The sequence below is a fragment of the Homo sapiens genome, chromosome 13 (genome assembly GCF_000001405.40).
Source record: "Homo sapiens chromosome 13, GRCh38.p14 Primary Assembly".
In the NCBI taxonomy this organism is placed as follows: domain Eukaryota; kingdom Metazoa; phylum Chordata; class Mammalia; order Primates; family Hominidae; genus Homo; species Homo sapiens.
This window is the reverse complement of record NC_000013.11, coordinates 38,842,735-38,867,532: the sequence shown is the minus strand read 5'-3', so window position 1 is coordinate 38,867,532 and position 24,798 is coordinate 38,842,735. Positions and strand designations below refer to the sequence as shown.

Genomic DNA, 24,798 nt, shown 5'->3' with positions numbered 1-24,798 from the left:
TGGTTCTGTCTCTGGGGAGAACCCTGACTAACACAACATCTCTAAGTTTCACTTCAAGAGAGTAAGCAACATGTTTTATTAAATTGTATTACCATTTAATTTACAATAAGGATTTTAGAATTTTATAACAAGATCCTAAAATCTCAATGATTTACTCTGAATCTGGTCATCACTATGATATTGATCATGATGGTTATGCTATTAATGTTTAACAATGCAAAAGCAGAAGTCTTTCAGAAGGAACTCATACAAGTTAGCCATCTTCCTTAAGAAAGTAGCACAGACTATTAAGAACTGAATTATGTTGTAATTCTTATATTGCACTCTCTTCTAGTATTATGGAACATAAGCTTTTCTAGCAGGAAAAACTTAACTGAAAACCTACAATTGCTGATTTTCACCTAATGGAGTAGGACTGTTGTCAGTTCCAATAGAGAAGCAGAGTAATGACTTTTCTAGCTGGCAGTCATAGGAAGAAAAAAAATACTGAGCACAAATAATTTGATAAAGGAACTGGAATTTTAAAAATCTAGCAAAGTATAGTCACTTTAGCTGATCTAAATTTTACAGTAAGATTTGATTTGAAGAATGAACACAGTAGAGGGCAGGCTTTGCATTCAAAATAAAACAGCCTTGCTACATTAAAAAAGTGGACAGATATAATAGGATAAAGCTTAGGCAGGCAAGTGCAGGGTTTTTATTACTGATAGAAAAGGCTACCTGTGTAACATGGACAAAAGACGGAGAAGTGCTGCCACTTTGTGGAGAAGATAGAAAACATTCTTAAGGGTAAAAACAGACTATAAACTAGATGAGATCCACAGAGAAGTTCAATAGCATGAAGTGATTTTTTTTTTTTTTTTTTGAGATGGAGTTTCACTCTTGTTGCCCAGGCTGGAGTGCAATGGCGCGATCTCGGCTCACCACAACCTCCGCCTCCCAGTTCAAGCGATTCTCCTGCCTCAGCCTCCTGAGTAGCTGGGATTACAGGCATGCGCCACCACGCCCGGCTAATTTTATTTTATTTTATTTTTTTTGACAGAGTCTCGCTCTGTTGCCTAGGCTGGAGTGCAGTGGCGTGATCTCGGCTCACTGCAACCTCTGCCTCCCGGGTTCAAGTGATTCTCCTGCCTCAGCCTCCTGAGTAGCTGGGATTACGGAGCCCACCACCACACCCAGCTAATTTTTGTATTTTTTTTTAGTAGAGACGGGGTTTCTCCATGTTGGTCAGGCTGCTCTTGGACTCCCAACCTCAGGTGATCTGCCCGCCTCGGCCTCCCAAAGTGCTGGGATTACAGGCATGAAGTCACTGCTCCTGGCGTATGAAACGATTTTAACAAGGAATGAGAACTACAACATAATCCTATTTCTATATCCAATTTTGTTTATACCAATAGATGCTGTGATGTAAGCAACAATCTGAGAGAAAAGCAACCAGAAAGGAAATAGAAATAATTTAGTAATGGATTGAAGGCAGCTTTGTAAGGAAGACATGAAGGAAGTAGAGATACCTGATCTATAAAGAAAAAGAGGTAGATTTGTTAATATGAGCCTTTATTTTTCTTCTAGGGATTGAATCTTTATTTTTCCATGTTTCTTTCAGGTGGCAAAAACAGGTTAGGAAAGAGGAATCTACAGGATGAACACTTATACGTGTTTAAGTAACTTGCTCAAAGACATACAGCTAGAAACTATCAGAGCCAAATTTTGGTCAGCATTTGCTTGATTCCAATATCCAGATTCCACCATCTTATACTGCTTCTCTATTGCTATTTCTATTGGCATTTTTAGCAATCCCTGTAAGTTACTAAATGTTGCTGCTTTTTGACAAGGTGGCTATGGTCATGTCTCACCACCTCTGAGTCCAATTCAACATCAACACCAGCAGAACTTGTCAAAGTCCACAGCTTTACTGTGGGATTATCTCATACTAGTTATCTAGTTTTTTCTTGCTACTGGTTGTTACATATTTCATTCAACACCTTATGAATATAGCACAAAAAAGGGCAGCCTAACTTTAGCTCAATCTGGAAGGGCATTATATAGTCTATATATCATTCAACACTTCAATGCATAAACCTACTTATGTAACTCCTTATTTAGTCCAGGTAAGATTATAGCATTGCTTTTAGTTCAAATACTCATAACAATTTTAAATCATGCCCTACATATTTTAGGTTCTCTATTGTAACCCACAAGAAGATCTTGCTTCCTTATCATTTTAACAACTTTGTTGCTGATGATGGGGTGGGGGTGAGGATTGTGTGTGTGTATGTGTATTTTATGTGTGAATGTGTAGTATGAAGAAGAATCAGTAACTGTAGAGTGCAAATAACAATAAGTTTTAATAAAAACACTTCTGACTATGTTAATGATAGATAAATGAATCAAAAAGCGAAGAAGAGGAGAAAAACAGAAAGAAAAAGAAGGAGAGTAAAACAGGAGGCTAAAAGCAGAGAAAGTTTTGTAAAATGTAGGGGAAGAAGAAAGTCAGAAAAGAGGGAGAAAAATTAGGCTGACTCCCAGGATTGTAAAACCTCACTTTAGGTGGCTCATGATACAACATCACAGGCATCTACACATAAACACAAAAACAACATAGTGTATACTTTGAAGAGAAGTCAGTATTTGGATTTTTATAATATCAGAGTAGATTTTGAGCTTAAGGCAATAATTATACAGCATCCTTTTCACATAGATATAATGTTTCTAGCCCATTGTCAAAAACTACGTATATTCTGGCCCATTGTTAAGAAATAGACACGGATTTTCACACCATCCATGCCAGTTGTCTGGTCCCTTGCTGTCAATAATTACCTACAACACCAAGATGGAAAACTGGAGTTGGGACTTAGTACAAATCTATGTGACAAAACAAACCAATTGGTTTATCCAGTGACCAAACTCAGATGTTATAAATCTGTACCTGTCCATCTGTTCCAATGGTGCCACCACAGTCAGCAAGGAGTTCTGACATGTCATAGTAGCTAACGAACTCCCATAAACAGGCCTCTAGGTTCAGGTTCCGGTAGAAGCGCAAGGTAGTGGAACCTCTGATGGACAAGCTGTACTGGTAAGGATATGTCTCTCCAATTATTTCTGGATTTTTGGTAGCATCAGTCAAGAAACCATAATGAGTCTTCACTTCAGTATAATCCAGGAGGTTGGAGCACTTGTGGTTTCCAACTCTTGTGCCATCAGGGCTGAGGGTGAGCTCAAAGTTGGAAAGCTCTCTAGTGGAGATCACGGGGAGCATGCCTATGATAAATCGAAATCATTGTTAACAGTCTTTCAAGTAGCCAAGAATTTTGAACACTTTAAAACTTCTTTATCTCTTAAGAAAACAAGTGTCATAAAATGCCATACAGCAGTGGTGTATGGCATACAGATCAAAGTGGTGTCCAGGCCCGGTGACGTGGCTCATGCCTGTAATCCCGGCACTTTGGGAGGTCTAGGTGGGTGGATCATCTGAGGTCAGGAGTTCAAGACCAGCCTGGCCAACATGATGAAACCCTGTCTCTACCAAAATTACAATAGCTGGGCATGGTGGCGGGTGCCTGTAATCCCAGCTACTTGGGAGGCTGAGGCAGGAGAATTGCTTGAACCCGGAAGGCAGAGGTTGCAGTGAGCTGAGATCGCACCACTGCACTCCAGCCTGGACATCAAAGGTGAAACTCCACCTCAAAAAAAACCCCTACAAAAAACAAAAAAATAAAAAAGTGGTATACTAAGAACCCTGGGGTTCCCCAGGAAAATTTCAAGAGATCCATGACTTAATCGCTATTTTCACAATGATAGTAAGTTATTATTTGACTTTGCCACCCATATTCTCTCACAAATGCAGTTTTTCAGAGACTACAAGATATGATAAATTGCAACAGATTGAATGCAGAAGCAGAGAATCCAGTTATCTTCTATTAAGTCAGACATTAATGATATCTTCAAGAATATAAAAGTGCCACTCATCATTTTTTTGTTTTATAACATAGTTTTTTAAAGGATGTATTTCATGTTAATATGTAATGTATTTCTTTTTGTAATTTTTAAATAAGTGAATAAATAACAATTCCTCAGTTTTAATTTAAAATCCAATAAATATTTATAGATATCACCCACATAAACAAAATCTCTTTGAGATCTTCAATAATTTCTAAGATGTCCTGGATCATAAATGTTGAAAACTGGCCATGCGTGGTGGCTCACATCTGTAATCCCAGCACTTTGGGAGGCCAAGGCAGGTGGATCACTTGAGGTCAGGAGTTTGAGACCAGCCTGACCAACATGGCGAAACCCCGTCTCTACTAAAAATGCAAAAATTAGCCAGGCATGGTGATGCACGCCTGTAATTCCAGCTACTTAGGAGGCTGAGGCATGAGAATCGCTTGAACCCGGGAGGTGGAGGTTGCAGTGAGCTGAGATCGCGCTACTGCACTCCAGCCTGGGTAACAGAGTGAGACTCTGCCTCAAAAAAAAAATTTTTATAAAGTTGAAAACTACCACCATTAAAAAGTACAGGCTAAGGACTGAAAATTTGTTCCATAAAGGGTCAAATAGTAAATATTTTAGCATTGTGGTCCCTGAGGTCTCTGTTGACTGTTCAATGCTGCCATCAGAGTGAAAGCCACTACTATGTGAAAGAAGAAACAGAACTGTGTGCAACAAAACTTTATCATGGGCAATGGATTTGAATTCCATACCATCTTTATGTCTCAAAAGTAGACTTCTTTTTTTTTCCCCAAACATTTAAAAATATAAAACCTATTCCTAGCTTGCAGACCATATGAAAACAGGCAGCAGACTGTATTTGGCCACAGGACATAGTGTGTTGAGCCCTGGCATAAGCAATACAGCAAAAGACTATGAACCAGTTCTTCTCTTTGAGCCTTTCACACCTCTTCCTCTCAGATTCACTCAGAGCAAAACTCCGGCCCCACAGAAGAAGTGGTCAGCCTCAACTACACTTCTGGCAGAACTGTGGCTATTGAACATTGAACAGTGCATTCAGAAAACGCAAAGCCAAGCCCTAGGAGTGGCAGAAGAGACCACTCTTTCTTTTAGGAAATAACTCTTATAGGTCTGTGTTTCCCTGATGGGTCCCTTCTCAGCCCTTTGCAGCTCAAGTCACACCTCCACATGGACCTACAGACTGGGTGGTTCAGGGACCAACATTATGCTATAAAGGAAGGAATGCAGATTCCTGACCACCTGCCCTTCCAATCCCCAGAAAAATCTCAGGTTGTAATAGGAAGACATAGCAGATGTTCTTGTTCTGGGGGAGGTAGATTCTACGTTGCAGCTCCTAATCGTATTTCCTCTCCCTTAGCTACATAAAATATAACTAACATATCAAGTAATTTTATTAACAATTTGCTATAAGTATAAAGTGATTTGAGTGGAAAATAACTTGAAAATGCCTTCCGCACATGGTAAAATATTCATAAAGTATGATAAAGTTATTGATGCACACATTCTGGTCATGGCTACCTAGCCAGAGAAAATAGACACAATATTTAATACCTGTTAGTTTCATTTTTTATTTTATTTAAATATCTTGGAAATGTCTTACAGTTACATGATAAATATTGAGAGAGACATAAAACTCCAGCTATAAAACTGCAACACATGTTGAAGGTAGGTACTAAGATATCAAATACTTTACTGTAACTTCAAGTTTACGATTGAAGATGCATTTGTACTCTTTCATAAAAGCTAGACTAGGTACCAAAGTTTTGTTTTATCGTGTCTGGATATGTATTACATCTACCTAATTTTAACGAATGCTTACACTGCCATAGTTATAAAAACAGGGTAGAACAAAGCTAAAACAGTTGAAAGAAGTGGAAGGACTTGAAGCTCAAGTTGCAAATTGAACGTTTATTTAAGCTTGGTTATTTAGAAGATGAAGGAAAATACAACAGGTAATGAGGAGTCCAAAACAATTCCATGGATTTGCTTACCCAAGTCACCTACCATCTATGTGTGGCATTGTGACAGTGAGCTTGATAAGGTTTGTGTAGTCTGCATCCTCAGGGCCTGTGTAGCGCAATTTAGCTGAGAACGGCTCTGCTCCAACAACCCCAGGTACACGGGGCTGACAAAGACCTTGAAAAAAAAAAAGACCATATTTATGCGAAAAGAAGGTAATCAATAATACCTAAAGAATGTTTTAGAAAATAGGAGCTATTATTTTTCTGTGTACTTTCAACTTCTCTGTGGAGTAGGGCATGGCTAAGAGTGTACATCACGTGATAAGGAATTAGAAGTCCACAGGGTGAGAAGTAATCACAGCAGACAGTTAGTGGCCACTTGACAATTTATGGATTGTTCAAACTTTGAGAAAAAATTTGTTACCATTCAATGTAACTTAATGTGTGCTGGTTATTCTAGGTCATGGTCATATTCACAAAATCATTTAAATATAAAGTATGAACAGATACAGTAAAAATGACTGAAAGTCAGTAGGATAAAAGTAAGTGTAGTTAAACCAAGTAAATGTTATTTTTACTCTAGAATAATATACTTATCATTAGTTATGTTTACATTACTTATAAGTGAATAAAACTAAAACTGTGCTCATTTTAGGAACAAAAACTAAAGTCTCCTTAAAAATCAGAGAGCAAAATATGTACAGTAGAGTTTTCTCTATAGATGTAATTTTTTACAGTATGTGTATTATACATTATAATCCATTTTATATTCATCTCTTTCTGTCTCATATCTCCCAGTGACCTTCAAGAATTTGGACATGAAACTCTTTCTCCAGTATTTCCTTTAGGAAAATAGTGGGGTTTCTATTTGAACATCATGAAAGGAACCAAGACGCTGAATTATAATTTCAGGAGAACTTGGAAAGATACAATTACTTATCTATTTGTATAAAACAGAGAAAATAGACAAATATGTATTAGAATAGCAAGGAAATCAGAGTCAGGCCCCAGCATAGAGGCTGTCTGATTTATTAAAAGAGAGAATCATTTTAAGGCATTATTTAAATATTTGATCCTGAATATATAGTAGTCACAGGTGGGACATATGACCTCTATGCAGTAAATTTACTTTTGAATGCGGTGTGCAAATAGATGATTTAGAAATAGAATCAAATATATACAACCGTTTTTAAGAAAAATCTCATTAAAAATTATTCTGCAGAGTGAAGGATTTATTTATACAGTGGATTTCCTGTCTTTCCAATGTTGTCCCCAGCCACATCCTATTCTCCATCCCCAATGTGTCTTTGCTCCAGCCTTAAATACAGTCTCTCTTGTAATACCAAGGTGTTAATTTGCACGTACCCCTCTATCTGGACTGCCCTTCCCCTCCCGTCCCCAGCAAAATCCTACTCACCCAACAACCAGCTGGTTTCCTTGCATGGCATGAGCTCTGTTCAGATCTGAGCCTTGCATACCATTTTGCCTTGTCTCCTGGTTTTTCCTCCTCTCCCTCTCAGAAGCTTCCCCATTTCTCTGCTTGCCATTCCCACAATATCCCGCATTCTTTCTTGCTTTTATGAGTTGTTGCTCATGCTTGTTTTCCTCTACTCTTTTCAGATTCAGCTTGAGCCTCCCCTCTTTGATAAGCCTTTCCTGACCCACTCAGGGTAAAACTAATCACTTCTACCTGTGCATTCCTGTGCCCTGTCTAGACTAAAATGTGTCTGCATCTTCAACTGGACCAAGAATTCCTCAAAAGCAGGGATCCTGTCTTCTTTATTTTATTGCCAGCACAAAGCATTGTGTCTGGCATATAATAGATACTTAAAGGTAGAATGAATAAATATTTTGTTTTCTAATACATAATTTTGTAAAAATAGATTTTAATTTTTCACTACTTACAAAATATATGGAATATGTGGGACATTGGAAGTATTAATAACCAGAAAGTAGACATTTGTAATATTGCACAGTATTCCAGTGATCTTCAGGGGAAAATGGCAATGACTGACCTTCTTCTCTGCTGATGGTTACAATAGGGCTCATGAGCTCCAGGCCTTCATCCCCATTGGTGTTCACAGCACGAGCTGCGCACTGTACCCGGGAGCCAGGCTGAAAGTATATGGAGTCCAGTGTGACCATCTTGGATGACGTAAAAAAGGTGTCGAAGTCCACTTCTCTCATAGGGCTGGTCACACCGTCAGGGCCCGCAGGTGCACTAATCAGCCACCGGTACCGCGTCAAAGTGTCATTGATGTTCTCACTTGCACAGATAGAGCCTGTTTTATCGTAGTCTGAATATTTGGGGTTGCAAGCCTACGGAAAACAAATGACTGTGTTAGGAACAGAGTGTAGAACAGGTGGAACGCATTCTTCTCCCGTTCTCTGCCATCGAGTTTTCACTGCTGCTTTCCCCAATTTCCACATGCTGTTTATACAGCTTCCGAATTTTGATCCCCAGGCATGATAACATTTATAAACATAATCTTGCATTTCAAACAGCTTATTGGATGTTTCTATTTCTAACTTAATATGTGTAAAATTGTTATTTATACCATAATCTCTTGAATCATCAGATTTGCCAGTTATCCTTATTCTCTCTTTTTTCCTCCCCCGCTTCCTGTCGCTCATCTTACCCCCCTTATCCAGTAAGTCATGAACTCGGCTGATTCTTCTTTAACAGTATTGCTTAAGTTGATGCCTTCCTTTCCATTTCCAGCAGCACTTCTCTGTCTAATTCAGCATCTTTTCTTCCAGTCCACTGACACACGACTGCCCTGTTAACCTGCCAGTTTAACCCCTCTGATCATTCTTCCATGTGAGAACTCTTCGCTACCCAACAAATGAAGTCCAAATTTCTTAATATGACATTTAAAACTCCCTATACTTTGACGCCAAATTATCTCTGCCTTGTTGACTCAATAAACATGTATTGTATAAGTGATTTTAGAAGTGCTGTTGTAATATAAACATAAGTAAGTCATAATTTTAGCTCACAAGGAGCTTAAACTTAGAGTCAAGAAAAGGCAAATTTTGAAAGTAGTGATAATTTGCTATTTCTTATGCTATTTTTTTCTAGCTGTAGCTCACGTTGCAGTCCCTTCTTCCTAGAATGACCTTCCCTTATCAGACTTGCATCCTAAAGAGTCAAAATTCCACCTGACCATCCCAAACCTCCCCTCATATATGGAGCTGCAGCTCTGACTTCTAATTTGTATCATTTTCATGATAGTGGTTATATCTTGCCTTATATTAGAGTTACCAATTCCTATATTCTTTTCTTCATCTCTAAATATCTTGAATGCAGACTTCATATCTTATTTATTTTTCTATTGGTGACAGACTGAGATAACACACTATGTACACATCAGTTAATGAACCTTTGTTCGGTGAAGAAAGAAAAATGGGAGCTTTATTTGATTAGTGTTATATATGCAAAGCTCAAGGCTTAAACCATGTAGTATTTTTCTACTTTCATTTCTTCATAACAAAGCCAATGCTATATTGATTATAATTATTTGAAATAATTATCTTACAATTTTCCTCAATTTTGTGAATCTCCTACTCACTGTGATACAGATGACAGGATAGCCAGACATGGGTTCAGCACTCTCCTTAGCTTTGGAAGTGTCGTCATACATCAACAGGGATACAATTTGAGGGACAGAAGGAAAAGTGACATCTGCCATGCTGCTCATTTCTTCTATGTACACAATGGCTTTCGTCAACTAGAAGGAAAAGACAATTATCACTGATTAGTGAAATATTAAACTTTTGATGCTTCTACCACACAGAACAATACTCACGATCCCTGGCAACCCCATGGCCTCGTTATGATGCAAATTGTCATACTCAGAGCCCCTGGAGAGCAACAGGCCCTAAGTGGCCTGCAGCACATGACCTTGGCACCTTGTTCACATCTTATGGTTCCAGGGAGGGCAGCTGAGCCCAGGGCAGTCAATCCAAAGGTTGGCCAGCGGCCCATGAGGTGTTTGGGCTCTAATTTATTTTTTTTTCTCCAGTTGTGATGACAGTAGCTAAATGTGTCTTGGGGTTGTGAAGGGAAATTTTATGAAGGAGTCAATTCTTTGACAGTGGGAGTAAAGCTGGAGGACATTCTGAAGGAAGGAATATCACAGAGGTCATGGGATAGTGTGAGCCTGGATGAAGCAGATGCCAGTAATAAGAAACTCTTTGAAGCAGCCAAGGGCAGAAGGCACTGCCTGAAACCCAGGCAGGGGAGAATTTGAGTTCCAGACAGAAGAGGAATCTATGAACACCTGCTGCTGGGCAAGGTGACAAGAACACCTTGCTGTGAGTTTGCCCTGGCTCCCTAATAACCTTCCAACATCTGACTACATAGCATAGTTTCCTGAACTATCTTTACGTGTATATTTTTAAAAGAAGCTTTCATCGCTGGAAGTAATTTGAGTGACTATCCTTTTCACCCAAAAGAATTTCATACGCTACTCCATAAAAATAATAATAAAAGATTCATCTTATGTGATGAAGACACAAAACTATATTTGATAAAGATTGCCCATACTTGAGTTTTAAATAACTTGATAAAAAGCAAGGCACTGTAGTAGAAAAACCATCAAGCAGTAAAGATTACAAAATGATAAAAATATTTAAGGAAAAACGTTTCCCAGCTTGAACTCATACTAAAGTGAAACAAATAAAAAAAAGTAATACAGTAAATGTAAGCAAAGACATAAAAAATTAATACATTCCAAAAAGACACGTAGTTTTAAAAATTATTTCCAATATAAAGGTCAACATTCTGTGGAATTATGTTCATTTTGAGGAAAACCTGGTTAGTGAGACAATATAAATTAAGTAAGTATAGAAAACAAGATTTAGGACTGCAACATTTTGATCATGAGGCTGTGGACATCAAATTCTGATAAAGCCAGGAGAAACAGACTTTGATTTGGAGGGTTAGCTAACTGCTTTGTGGGTTCGAATATGTTTTATGAGTTGTGGCACTGAATTAATAGTTCCCTCTTTACTCTGAGATGTTGCTTTCTCTCTGATGGTTAATCCCAAGGTCAATGAATCATTACTGACTGACATGGGGAAGGGAAGTGCACAGGTTTGGGGCTCAGTGGCTTCAGTCCTTGAGTTTCGACAAACATGATTTTTCAAAGAAAAAGATGCACATTTCTTGACTATGATCTAATCAGAACAAAACACATTTAGGTGGTAAAAAGAGATTATGCATATCTCTTTCACGTAAGGCTTGTTCAAAGTCTCCTCATTTTGTTGTACACTATGTGATTGCTTTTATGCATTTCCTCTGACAAACTGCTAGCCATGAATTTACATACACATTACATTACTTACCTGCATCTCTGCTATCATATTTTCATCAGGTTTTAGGTGAACAGTGAAGGCCTCTCTCATCTCTCTCACCCCGTCAAAGGTAACTTCGATTTCAACCACGTGCTGGGTTTCCCCTTCCTTAAACTCAATTTCTACAAATGTAACATCACAGATTTAAATCATTTGCATATGAATATGAGAAGTTTTCTATTTTTTTTTTTTTTTTTTTTTTACTGTGGCCTACAATGAGAAATACATTTTACACTGTGGTCCAGTATATTTGGGTGTGTGTGTAAAATGAAATCAAATGTTTAACAAACATCACTAATTCTTATTCTATGCATTTTACTTTAATATTTTCTTTTTTCCCAAGACTTTATTTTTTTAATTTTTTTATTTCCATAGAGTTTTAGGGGAACAGGAGGTGTTTGGTTGCATGAATAAGTTCTTGAGTGGTGATTTCTGAGATTTTGTTTCACCCATCACCCAAGCAGTATACACTGTACCCAATTTGTAGTCTTACACCCCTCACCTCCCTCCCACCCTTTCCCTGGAGTCCCAAAAGTTCATTGTATCATTGTTATGCCTTTGCATCCTCATAGCTTAGCTCCCACTTAGGAGTGAGAATATACAATGTTTGGTTTTCCATTCCTGAGTTACTTCACTTAGAATAATGGTCTCCAGTTCCATCCAGGTTGCTAGGAATGCCGATTTTATCTGAAGGAAAATTTTAATAATAAGACATTGGTTCGTTGGCCCACAGTTTGAAAAGATGCTGAATTATGGGAGGGACAATCAGTAGTTCTAATATTGGGATAGAATCAGAAAAATTAACCTCTTATTCTCCAGAATTTCTAAACCAATAGGACTCAAGAAAATGAATATGATCATAAGTATAATAGAGTGTGAATGGGATTTACATTATGTACATATGTAGAAGAGCTGGATAAATAATTGTTGACTTTTTTATAAAATACCAAATTATATTTCAAGAAGACTTCTTTGTGTTTTTCAGGGAAACTTAGACAAGTTATTTTAGATAAATGCTAATGATTTTTTTCCCTTCACCCTGTCCTTTCTCACTAAAAAAGAATTGCTTCTTTGTCATGAAAGTTAAATCTAGAATCCTAAAAAAAAAATCAGAATTATTTTCTTAACCACTCATTTCAAAATTGCTAAAAAACATGACAATTATCAGATTTTATTGAAATCGTAATTAAGCAGCTGATCATACTGTAAACCATGGATAAACTATTTTGTTGGTTTTACTATACCTTTTAAGATACCGTTTCAAAGGAGAAAATATAAAGCCTATAAAGCATAATTATCCCAATTAGAAGAGTCAACAGATGCCAGTTTCTGATGTAGCTGCAGTTCAATTATTATAATTCTAAATTACAAATCCTTTAGAGTCTGGAAGAAGAAAATGAATTGCCAGTGCATTTTCCTTTTTCTGCTTCAATTTTTAAATTATCAGGTACGAGGAGCAATTTTCTTCTCTTTATCTTTAAAGATTTTTTTCTTTTTCTTTTTAAAATTAGTTCTCTGTCTCTAGATACAGCAACTATTCCTATCAGCCTTCACATATCATAATGAGCCCATCAGTCTCAGATTTCTTATACCCTGAGAGAACTTACAGTTCTTGTTCCAGAGAAGAAAATAGCTAATCATTTGTTTGATTTGACCTGTATGATGTGACATTAAAAACTGGGTTTCTAACACTTAAATATCTGGGAATTTCATAAGAAAATAGAGATTTTTGAGTTTTTTGGCACCTTCCTGCATGGCAGAAGACTACGAACACTAGGCTGTGATAATACAGCCTTTTCTTGGCAAGGAATGGGCTTGCTGGCTTAATGACACTATAATCATTCCATTTTCTATCATATTTTCCTTGGTTTACTCGTTTTCATTGCTTATCTTAGACATGTAAGCATTCAAGGTTTTGTGATGCCTTGAGTTATACAAACCAAATTTCTTAGAATTTAAAAAATTAAATATTTATTTTAAATATTTGTTATTGTTTTCTGATAGTATACTTGCTGGACGGTGGTCAAGTTTTCTCATTCACATTTATCTTTTTCTGTCACTTTAGACTATTTTAGCATGAAAAAATTTCAACTTTTTTTCTATATTTAATTTTTTCTGGTTTTTTTTTTTGCAAAGAACTCACTTCAGTTTGAACCTGAAAAGGAGAAATTAGAAAATGTTTCAGAAAACTATTCCTTAAATTTTTAATATAAACATTATAAAACACATGTTGACATTTATTGGATAAAAGAGACCAACAGGTTTATTTAATGTTTTAACTTTTTTCTGACTTTATTTTTCAGTTTACTACATAGCTATAATTTTGTTTCCGTTTAGCAAAAGGAATCATTTTACTTCCAAGAAAAACATTTTTTGTTAAAAGTCATGTTATCAATATTTAAAAGACACTTCTTTCATGTAAAATCTGCTCATTATAGAAAGACATTTAATATTTTATAATTCAGTAGCTAATCAGTTTTGTTTTCCCTTCTCTGGGATTACATGTGATTTATTTCAAATATATATTTTGTTTTACATAGAGAATAATCTGGGGATAACTTTGAAGCTCTAGAGTAGTTCATCAAATTATAACCATTATATGGAAAGAATATACAAGCTCCTTTGTAGAAGACGCCATTTTTTATGTTGCCTCACTAACTTTATTACTGATTCAGTGATACCTATCAGTTGTTTTCTCAGCTTTGTTTGTAAATTAGATAAAGATGAATGCCTGACGTGCTAAGATCATCAAGAACTAATGACTCTTGATAGTGAGAGGTAGGAAAGGAGAAAACACAGTGAATAATTAGACTCCAAATAATTCATAAATGTAATATTGGACATAAAGTTACTTTTATTTTGTAAGCAAATAATTCAGAGAGAGAGCAAGTGAGAGAGAAGAACTGATTTGTTTTTTTTTTTTTTTTTTTCAGACGGAGTTTTGCGCTTGTCTCTCAGGCTGGAGTGTAATGGCGGATCTCGGCCTCTGCTTTCCGGGTTCAAGCCATTCTCCTGCCTCAGGCTCCCAAGTAGCTGGGATTACAGGCGTGTGCCACCACGCCTGGCTAATTTTTATATTTTTAGTAGAGACGGGGTTTTGCCATGTTGGTCAGGCTGGTCTTGAACTCCTGACCTCAGGTGATCCACCCGCCTTGGCCTCCCAAAGTGCTGGGATTACAGGTGTGAGCCAACGCACCCGGCCAGAACTGACTTGTTTTAATTACTGATAAAAGTAAATGGCAGGCTGAGTTTGGTGGTTCATGCCTTTAATCCAAGCACTTTGGGAGGACAAGGTGGGCAGATCACTTGAGACTAGGAGTTTGAGGCCAGCCTGGCCAACATGGTAAAACCCCATCTCTACCAAAAATACAAAAAATTAGCTGGGCATGGTGGTGCATGCCTGTAGTCCTAGCTTCTTGGGAGGCTGAGGTGGGAGGATCGCTTGAACCTAAGACACGGAGACTGCAGTGAGCTGTGATTACGCCACTGCATGCTAGCCTGGCCAACAGCGTGAGACTCTGTCTCAAAAAAAAAAAAAAAAAAGATGGTGACATGGCCCAACATTTGCAAAAGGAGAGGGATGAAAGACATCTCTAAGTGGCTCCTAAATCCTAGAGAATTCATTGTCTCTGTGGTTAATATTTCACTATACTTTTACTGTCCTTTGTTAACACAAAATTTTTTGGTTTAGATTTAGATTGCTGGTGTTCTCTAAACTAAAATAGATTATTATCACAGTTATCATGCATATTGCAATTACATAGAAAAATATAGGAAATTATTATTTAATCTGGTAACTACAATGAAGGTAAAACTAATAGAAAGCCAATTCAAACAGAAGGTTATTTAGCACATTTACTCAAAATTTCCCTAAGTCCTAACACATATACCCTGTAAGTCAAAAAGAAAAAAATCTTGGAAATAAATCCCATTGTGTTTGTTTTACTAAACGAGAGGAATTTAAAAGAGTATGTCTATATTTTAATTGAAACAGCTCAGAAACAGAAAGTCAAATACTGCTTGTTCTCACTTATAAGTGGTAGCTAAATAATGTGTACACGTGGACATAGAGTGTGGAATGATAAACACTGAAGGCTTGGGAGGGTGGGGGAGTGGCAGGAGGTGGGTATTGAGAAATTATTTAATGGGTACAATGTACATTATTCTGGGGATGGAGATACTAAAAGACTAGACTTCACTACTACATAATATAACCATGTAACAAAATTGCACTTGTACCCCTTAAAATTATACCCCCTAAAAAAGAGTGCCCTATTTTGATTTCAATTGGATGTTTCCCTTCTTTTCCTTAAGGGCACTGGCACTGAAACACAGAGTTGGCATGATCCATCAGGAGACAGGCCCTGGGAGCCCCATACCTTCTGACACAGGGTGGTAGTCTTCTCCAGAGGTGGCCGAGCCATCCTTGGTGTGGACTCTCACAATGGAAACCTTTGAAGTGTCTCCTTGGCGAATCACTGGAATTCTTATAACCACCGACTCTCCAGGTTCTTTGGGTTCAGTGACACTAAATTTGGTTTCTCCAAATTTAATAACAGTCTCTAAAATTGTGGGAAACAAAGACAAATGAAATTGTTAGTAAGGGGAATGCTTTTCCTCCATTTCTAATGTTTGTTTCCATGTGGGAGGGGATAAATGACTATTACACTCCTGGCTTCTCTCTGTCCCCTCACTCAAAATTAGTGACGTGTGTGGAAGGAAAAGCTGGCATATGTTGTCCAGCTCCTTCCAGGGATCTAACCAGCCCCCAGAGAGCATGTGCTGCCAGCTCTCTATATGTGCCATAAATTACACATGAGCAGGCCACTGAAGGTGGGTGGGAAGGGAGGAAACTGTTGGTCCCCCTGTACCCAAGGGTGTGTATAGAGTAGAGGGCCAGTATGGATGTTTGGGAATTAGTGTTTGGATATAAGCCATATTCTCCAGCATCAACTTTATCAGTTTTAATGGTTTATTTTGTTCCCCATTTGTTTGTCTTTTTGCTGTTTCTCAATTGCTTAAAAACCCTAGTCATAAAGCAGAGGAGGTGGGGGCATTTTTCTGAGTCACTTAAAACCTTGACTTGGCTGGATTTTAGTTTCTAATTTACAGTTGAACAAACAAAAAAAGATTTCTTACTATCAGCATCATCTCGGATCCTTATGAGAGTTTCATTTTGTTCACCAACTGCAGCCCCAAAGGGAGAGTTGCTTTGTGGAGTGCCGAGTACCAGGCGGAGCTCCTCTACCTCCTCATAGAGCACATCGTCCATCAGCTCAAGAATGCAGGGCTTTTCTGTCTCACCTGGAACAATAATGTCAGCAGGTCAATCACATCCCATAGGAATATATCTACAACTAGAATGTGAGCACCATAAGGGCAAGTTTGTTGATTTTCCCTGCTGTATCAGTGCAATAAATAGTGTTTGGCATGCAATAAGCCTTCAGCAGATATTTGCTGAATAAGTGAATAAATATTTAAGTATATGCAATGACCAGCACTTATTCGTATGGGGAATTTCTTTGATTTCTGTCTTTGAGCTCTGCCACTCATCTTAGAAAACAAGGGAAAAAGCACAAATGTCAATTTTATTTATGAATTTTTAGCATTACATTCAGAAAGCAAGATTAGCAGCCTTGCCCTGGTTGATCATTGTTAATCTGACCTCAACACTAGTTTCTAGTATTATTAACTTTTGACTTACTAAACAAATCATTGAGCCAAGTTTAATTCCTAGCATTGTAAAATCTGTACATTTGATATGCTTTTGTCCACTGAATAAGTTTTGAATAAACCATATATCACATCACTGGAAATCAATAAGTTAATGCAGATACCAAAAGGGCATTCATTCAACCTGTTAAAAATCGATTTCACTTTCCTCATTTATTGCACATAAAACCATGCCATATGCTTGTTGATATCGAGGAACTTGTATTTCCCTGATATATATTTCTGAGTAAAAATTCGGCTTCTTCAAATTTCACGAAAAAATTTCAAGTTCAAGCTTACCAGGGAGGAATGTGATGATGGAGGTATCAGTGTTTGGGCGTTCTTCAAAGTCCATCATCACCTGTGCAGACCCCTGCCGGGTGTAGCATCTCACTGAAGATCTGTACTGGACATCCCCAGTCCTATGGATCATTGTAACTATCTGCCCATCACTTTCGCTGCCAGTATATATTCGTTCTTTGAATTGCATCTTAGGCACTGCAAAAACAAAGGATTAAAGTGAACAGAAATTTCCTTGTGGAAAATGGCATTTCAGAAGATGTGATTTAGTGGAAAGAATAATGGAAAGTAAGTGAGAAGAACTGGATTCTGTCTCCATTCAGTCACTTGCCAATATTTTGACCTTGAGCAAATCACTTAAGAGTTTTGATTTCCTTACCTTTGACATTTTGCTCTGCCTGTTTGGTAAAGTAAGGGTATGCAATGAAATGTTAAAAAGTAGATAAAACCACAAACCTTAAGATATTTGTATCTACATGTTTCTTAGTCATGAGCCTTTCAGAATTTCCTGACGTGAAGAACACTGAATATTGTGCACATAATTACAAGCATAGTTTACTCAGATCATGTAGGTAACTTGACTGTGTGTGTGGTGTGTGTGATTTTTAGGTGACACCTATGCTAGGTTAATTACGTATAGGGCTCATTGACAATAGGTGAGACTCCTCCAAGCACTGTTGAAATCATCATGATTGAAGAGTGTTCAGAATTCCCTTGTGATGACGTGTCAGAGAGCTCTGCCATGTGTCCAGCAGAGGGTTGTCCCAGAACAGCATTTTTGGCACATTATTAAAGAAATTTGATGAGTGTCTAGGGGAAGGAGACGACAGAAAGTGTCTTGTGCTGTGAAGTGGAGAAAGATTATTGACACTCAGGAGTCTGTGCAGTTCCACATGGTTCCACCCAACTGTGGTGACGGGAATTCTTGAGGCACAATCAAGATACTGATGACATCACATTTTTTTTCTTTAAGGTTTGAGAGAAAGAATAAAAGTTTTATTCTGAGACTGTCTAATTCTATCAAAATCATCAGGAGGAGAAAGGTGTGGTCAGCTAGGGTATTTGTATGAGCTGGACTGTGTTCCTCTCAAATTCATATGTTGAAATCCCAACCCCCAATACCTGAGGATGTGACCTTATTGGTAGGCTGGGTCTTGACAGAAGTAATTAAATTACAATGAGGTCTTTAGGGTAGGCTCTAATCCAATGTGACTGGTGTCCTCATTAAAAGGGGAAAATTAGACAGAGACACATACAGGGAACACCATGCAAAGAGACTTAGGGACAACATGGCCATCTTCAAGCCAAGGAGAGAGGCCTGGAACCTCCTTCCCTGACAGCCCTCAGAAGGAAGCGAGCCTGCCAACACCTTAAATTTGGACTTCCAGCCAACAGCTATGAGATAATAAATTTCTGTTATTTAAGCCACCCCGACAGTGCTACTTTGTTATGGAAGCCCTAGCAAACAAACAAATATATATAATCATCTTGCTTATCATATATACATAAACCTTAGCTTATGATTTCAATTATCATTGTAAATTATAAAATTAATAAACACTCACAATCGGAGACAGAGTCATTTATGGACACTGTGGCTTTGCTGGGCTCGCCAAGGGCTGCGTTCATAGGCATGCGAAGCACCAGTTCAAATTTCTCAATTCCCTCCAGCGCTGGTTGTCCAAGGTCATCCAGAATGACAACACGAACAGGCTGCATGTTGACTCCAGGTGCAAAATCTAAATTACGGCTGATGCCCACATAGTCTGTTCCAGCTATGACAGTAACAAAAAAATATTCAGTTGGGGACTAATTAAATTTCAAAAAATTATAAGACATAAATTATGTAATTGTGTTTATAATTCTTCTTTTAAAAAATAGAGACCAGCATAACTCTACAGAAAAGTACATTTAATAAAAGGCAAAAGATTAGTATCTGGATAACTACTGTGGTGATAGATCAAAGACCAGCTGCTGAACTTTATCCATGTTTCATGGTTAGACTTTGGATTCATTATTTTAGCTTTCTGTGCTATAGTTCCTCTAACTTTAGTTTGAAAATTCTCTAATAAAGGTAATAAAAATCAGGCTTAGAAAAATCAGCATATCAATCAAATATGTGATCCTTATAAATTACATATGAAATAGAGACATTTAAAATTTTGTTAACATTAATTAAGTATTTATGTATCTTTGCTGGAGCTGCTGTAGAACATCCTACTCAGGTATGTGGTTGCCTGTTAGTTAAAGCAACACATTTAAGGGGTACCAGCTCTGCCCACACTCCATCCACCTTTGTCCCAGGCAATGAGAGAAGCTTCTACTTTTTGATCTTTAATTTAATATTTTTCAGACAAAGGGGGTTATATCTAGTGTTGATACCTCCACTTATATCTAAAGTAGTTAAAAACAAAACTGTCTTTTAATCTGTAGCCACTACATCCACAAAGATTGACAGTGGTGGGCAACAGATCGATAATATTTCTTCTTTCTTTGTTTTCATACCTTCTGCTCTTCTGACTCTCATTTTGTATCTACTTTACCTCCAAATGTGCAACTTTGCTTGAGTATATCTGTCTTTGATTCATTTTGTAGGATGTCCATATCTCCCTGTGGTTCTTTTTATATTTTTTTCTTTTCCTCTGCTTCTTCCCCTTTGCTCTTATTTCTCTCTCTCCCTCCCCTCATCTGTGATTTGAATCTTTCTCTTAAAAATGATTAATTTAGTTAAACAAAGGTTTAATGGGCACCTGCTACGTGCAAAGCACTATACTGCTTCCACTACATTAAAAAAGTTAAAACCTAAGGGTGACTTTTAAAATGGTATAACCTGTGCTTGCTTTGTGTGATGAATGCATGATGTGTGTATGACATGCATGTGTGTTCTCATGTGTGTGTACATGAGAAAGTTTGTATTGTTGGTCATTTAGAAAAAAAAGGAAATTTTGAATTCTATGCTTGCTGTAAACTTTATAATCAACTTTTTGGAGATGTGGATCCCGGAATAAAATGCAGATATGTGCTAGTTAGTACTTTTTTATAACGAAGTGTGGAAAAAACCTTTTGGATCTGAAGTATTTATAGGGACACATGGTTAAAATAAGGAGACAGCCAACTGAAGACACATGCCTGCATAATACCTAAATGTCATAGGTTTCTGTGGGGATAGATTATGTGCAGTAAGATGATTTTCCTGCTTATAATGCTACAACATTCAGCAATACTAGATTTGCTGAGAGTAGAGAACCACTTCATGGAAATATAGGCCTCAGTATACAGATCCTTTGAGTCTTAACGTTTGTAACCTAGTTTCTGATTCATGGCCTTTAAATGTACTTTCCCAAAGTAGTAAATAAAGCCTAGATTTACCTCCTAGAGTAATAATTTCAGCAAAAACAATATACCCAGCCAACTGCTTTAATAGAAGTGAAGTATTTCAGCTTTAAATAAATTTGTGCCATGGTCATTGAAAATTGCAGAACAATCAAAAGAGCCGAGTGGGAAACTGCTCACCATCTGCAGAGGGAGGATCTGTTTTCCGAGACCTCACTGTGACACTAGAAGACTTGGACAGGTCAGTGCCCGTTCTCCACACCTGCACTTCCACATAGCCAGCACTCTCATCCACAGAGTATTCCACATCACCGAAGTAAAAGATGGGTTCTGTTAAGAAAGGAACAGAAATCATTTCTGTTATTTTTATTTTTTCACATCAAACTCTATTGACATGCTTCCAAAGAAGAGTGTGCTTCCTCTTAGGGACTTCCTTATATCATCATACTTTTTTCCTTTTAGTGAGATAACATCTCTTTAATCTAAACTTTTCAGGTGAAAATATTAGTCCTTACAATCGAACATACACACAGTAAAGTGCCTAATAAAACATTCTCATCTTGAGGCATAAGTTTGTTTGTGCTTCATATGTGGGATTATAAGTGGCTTCTAAAAGTGCCTCTGGAAGCTTAGTTGGAAAAATAGAACTAAATGAAGCAAAACACGTATCTTTTTTTTTTTTTTTACTTTGGCCAAGCCACTCATTTTATTATTTCTTACCAAGTTCCCACTCTGGAACAGAGCTATTCCTTTTTGCATTATGCCATTTTCTGGTCCATTAGATTTGGGCTTATTTCGATGTATGTGAGTGTGTTATAATCACAAGGGTTAGAACCTACTGTCATAACTAGACTGAATATATGATTGCTAGTCCTGAAGACTGCAGGGCCTGACTGCAGGTTGCCTGTAGAGTATTGGAGATGCTCTATACCAAGTGAGACTTTACTAAATAAATAATCTCATATGAAGAGGTTAATATTAATTCTAAACACACATGAAAATGAGGCAAATTCAGTCACTAAACTAGGGCACATGCTTTGGGGTCTTCGTATTTTTTTCCAATACTGGTGATAAACTTGAATTGATCTAATCATTGTTTCTGCCTGACTCAAACTGTGACCAATGGTTTACCTTGTGATAGAGCTGCTAGAAGTCTGAGGTTTAGCAGTCAGCTGACCAATGATAAAACAGAGATTTAATTTGTGATCTTACTGTAAAAAAAAATTTATTTTGAGTTATATAGAGGCTCACAGGAAGTTGCAAAAGTAGTATATACTTCACTCATTTTGAGCTTATTTTTATAAGCAATTATTAAGAAAGATAAATTATATCACCCAGAATAAAGGTTAATGATAATAGTTACCATGTATGAACAGACACAGGTGAATGTACACACATAAGGTGAACAACCCTTTGACTTGACAGATTCTAGTCACCTGGCTCTAGTTTTACAAGATTCAAAAGGACTGAATCTAAAAGAACATGCAACTCACATTACTGTTCCTTAAGAAGGCAGGCCACTAAAAACATGATATCATGTTTCAGAGCAACTAATTGAATTCCCACACATACCAAATTAAGCAAAACTCTACAACAATGGCTCACAAAGCCACTTGGAAAGCCAAAGAAAATTCATTTTGTGCATTGTTCAAGTTGAGTATGATTTCTTTATTTTCTTGCCCCAAATAAATTACCTTTATTTAAACTGGAAAAGTTTGTTTTCTTTGTTTCTTCACATGGTGGGCATGATAAAAATCATACAGCCCCTTCAAATTCTTGAATAGTAGAAAACCAACCTTAGAAATTTTGTTCACATATTTTGGTTCGGGGGTGATAAATGTCCCTATAACATAGTTAGCCTCCTTCTTATCCTTTTGACTTGGACAGTGCTAGGGCACATGAGTGTAATGTGTATAGATGAAGGTGTTATCTGTTAACCTCAGTCAAAGCCAACCTCAATTACAAGCCAATACATTCCTGACATTTCCCACACTGAGGTAGGGCACAAAGGTGAAGACAGAGAGCTCTGAAAATGTATCTTCTGACCAGATGGCCAAACCAGGCACATCTGTAAGTCTTTTAAAAGGCTTCCGTAACTATCACAGAGGCTTGATCACCTGCATCCAACAAGTGATCTCTGTAAGTCTCTTCACATTCCTGGCAAACCACATCAGCACCCAAATTAGGTTTCTGAGTTATGGGAGAGAGCTGTGAAATGCAGTTAAGGGAGGACCTTTTATTTAACAATGATACCTCCCCATCTTCCTATCTCCCAACTCCTCACAGACACATAACAAAAAAGGAACATAATAAAATCAAATGAGTGAATATACAACTGCTAAACACCAAATAAGCTACACATCGGGGACCAAATGGTGTGTTGCATGTTTCAGACTCATTCTGTCAACTCCAAAACACGTAGTTTTACTTTATAGCTTAATGTGTAGTTTTTATAAGAAAAAATATGGAAGTCTTATGGGTGTAGTACTCTGAAAACTTCTAAGTTGTCATTCGAAATGAAGACGAATGAGTTACCATATATGTACAGACACATGTGTTTTATATGCATGTGTGTGTGTATCTGTGCAAGTGTGTACGTAAGCAAGACAGAGAGAGAGAAAGAAAGAGGCGGGGGTGGCATGGCACATGTGACAATGTTATAAAAATAAAAGGGATATGAAAGATGCAAACAACATTATTACGTTGCCTATTGCATAATATATTGTTATCTCCTGTAGAAAGAAGGAGGGAGACTGGAAATGGGATTTTAACCCTAAATCCTTCAACTTTAATGCAGTGCTAATAAGAGGAGTTAGAAAAGTTAATTAACTACTTCCTTAAAGCTTTTGATTATGAGTAGATTTATGTATATGATTTTTCTCCCTCTTTGTGCTCCACTCATAATGATTGAAAAACTGGTCAAATAATCAATTACAATTACTGAAGTTAAAGTTTGATGTGATTATTATGAGATTAAAACACATTCAGTAGTTTCCATAAGAAAAAAAAAAACTCTGCTAACTACCTAGTTTCTTGTGCCATGAATTAAAAAAATGGTTAAGCATCAGCATATTTTTTCAGTGTTAGATGAGTGAGAACTAAAAAGAAGTAATGATTATGTTTATTTCAATTTCTCAGCATCTTTTCAAAATATCTACAATTTGAATATTGTTTATAATCATTACCACTGGGAGAAAACCTTATGTAATATGAATGAGTTAAAGACACATCAAGCAGTAAGTTGAGTTATAGATGTCACTTAAGGAAAATAGCAAGATGTTCCTGGAACATTTTAATGAGTACTAAAGCAAGAGGAAGGAATAAAATAATAAATAGATGTGACTGTCATGCCTTTGAAAGGTATCTATGCAAAATCCAGAATAATTGCTTGTCCCTCAAAAATTATTATTCATGAGTAAGACTTTTAACTCACCTCTTTCTTTGGTAAACTTTTTTTTTTTTGGCCTAGAAACTTGGTTTCTTTTAAGAAAATAAGTAAACTGAAGATCTTTGTAGATCAGTTATGGAAATACCCCTACCCCAGTACAATTTGAAGTAAACTAGAAGCCTATTCAATTCTTTAATTCAGCTCCTAAATACATACTGTGCCTTGTACCATGTTTAAGTTCACAGACTTAATGGATAAAACAATCAGTGGAGGATATTATTACTTAGAATAAGAGGATGATCAAATAAAGCCACACATCTCATAGCCTACACCCAACTAAGACCATAAAACAGTCCTTGCTCATCACTCCACCACCCTCAGATGACACTCCAGAATGCAGAGGAAAGATAAGTTTATCCAAATTGTCTGTGAGCAGTGCAAGGGAGGTTTTGAATTGGCCTAGTGAGGGTGAAATTCATAAGGGAAGCCAAACTCTACACTCTATCCCTTGAGGTCTTTATACTTTTAAATAAAGGACATAGATCAAGGCATTGACTACAGAAAAGTCTATTTTAGCTCATTAAACATAAATGCGCTTCTCAAGGTTGGGGATACTTTCACTACCTACAGCACAGATAGGATCACATTTATTTCCTACAAACGTAGAAGAGGTGGACAGGTGAGCAATACAGCACAGATACCTGCAACAAAGACAAAGAGAAACAATTTAAGTTCTTTCCCAGAGGGAAAATTTTCCCAGTGTCTAGATGGATGTTTACA

General features: G+C 37.2%; 1 protein-coding gene across 2 annotated transcripts in view; it reads right to left on the bottom strand.

The window, feature by feature from the left end:
* Positions 1–24,798, bottom strand: part of FREM2 (FRAS1 related extracellular matrix 2) — a 200,055-nt gene that overhangs the window by 19,599 nt on the left and 155,658 nt on the right. The window contains exons 7-16 of one of the 2 annotated variants that reach the window (NM_207361.6): positions 20,811–20,960; positions 18,863–19,072; positions 17,298–17,495; positions 16,425–16,589; positions 15,665–15,847; positions 11,277–11,407; positions 9,500–9,658; positions 7,943–8,246; positions 5,971–6,102; positions 2,927–3,258 (exon numbers count right to left, since the gene is read on the bottom strand). In NM_207361.6, the coding sequence (NP_997244.4) occupies positions 2,927–3,258; positions 5,971–6,102; positions 7,943–8,246; positions 9,500–9,658; positions 11,277–11,407; positions 15,665–15,847; positions 16,425–16,589; positions 17,298–17,495; positions 18,863–19,072; positions 20,811–20,960 (1,964 nt within the window). Of the gene's footprint in view, positions 1–2,926; positions 3,259–5,970; positions 6,103–7,942; positions 8,247–9,499; positions 9,659–11,276; positions 11,408–15,664; positions 15,848–16,424; positions 16,590–17,297; positions 17,496–18,862; positions 19,073–20,810; positions 20,961–24,798 lie in introns of those variants that run through there. The other variant, XR_941571.3, reaches the window with a different exon arrangement.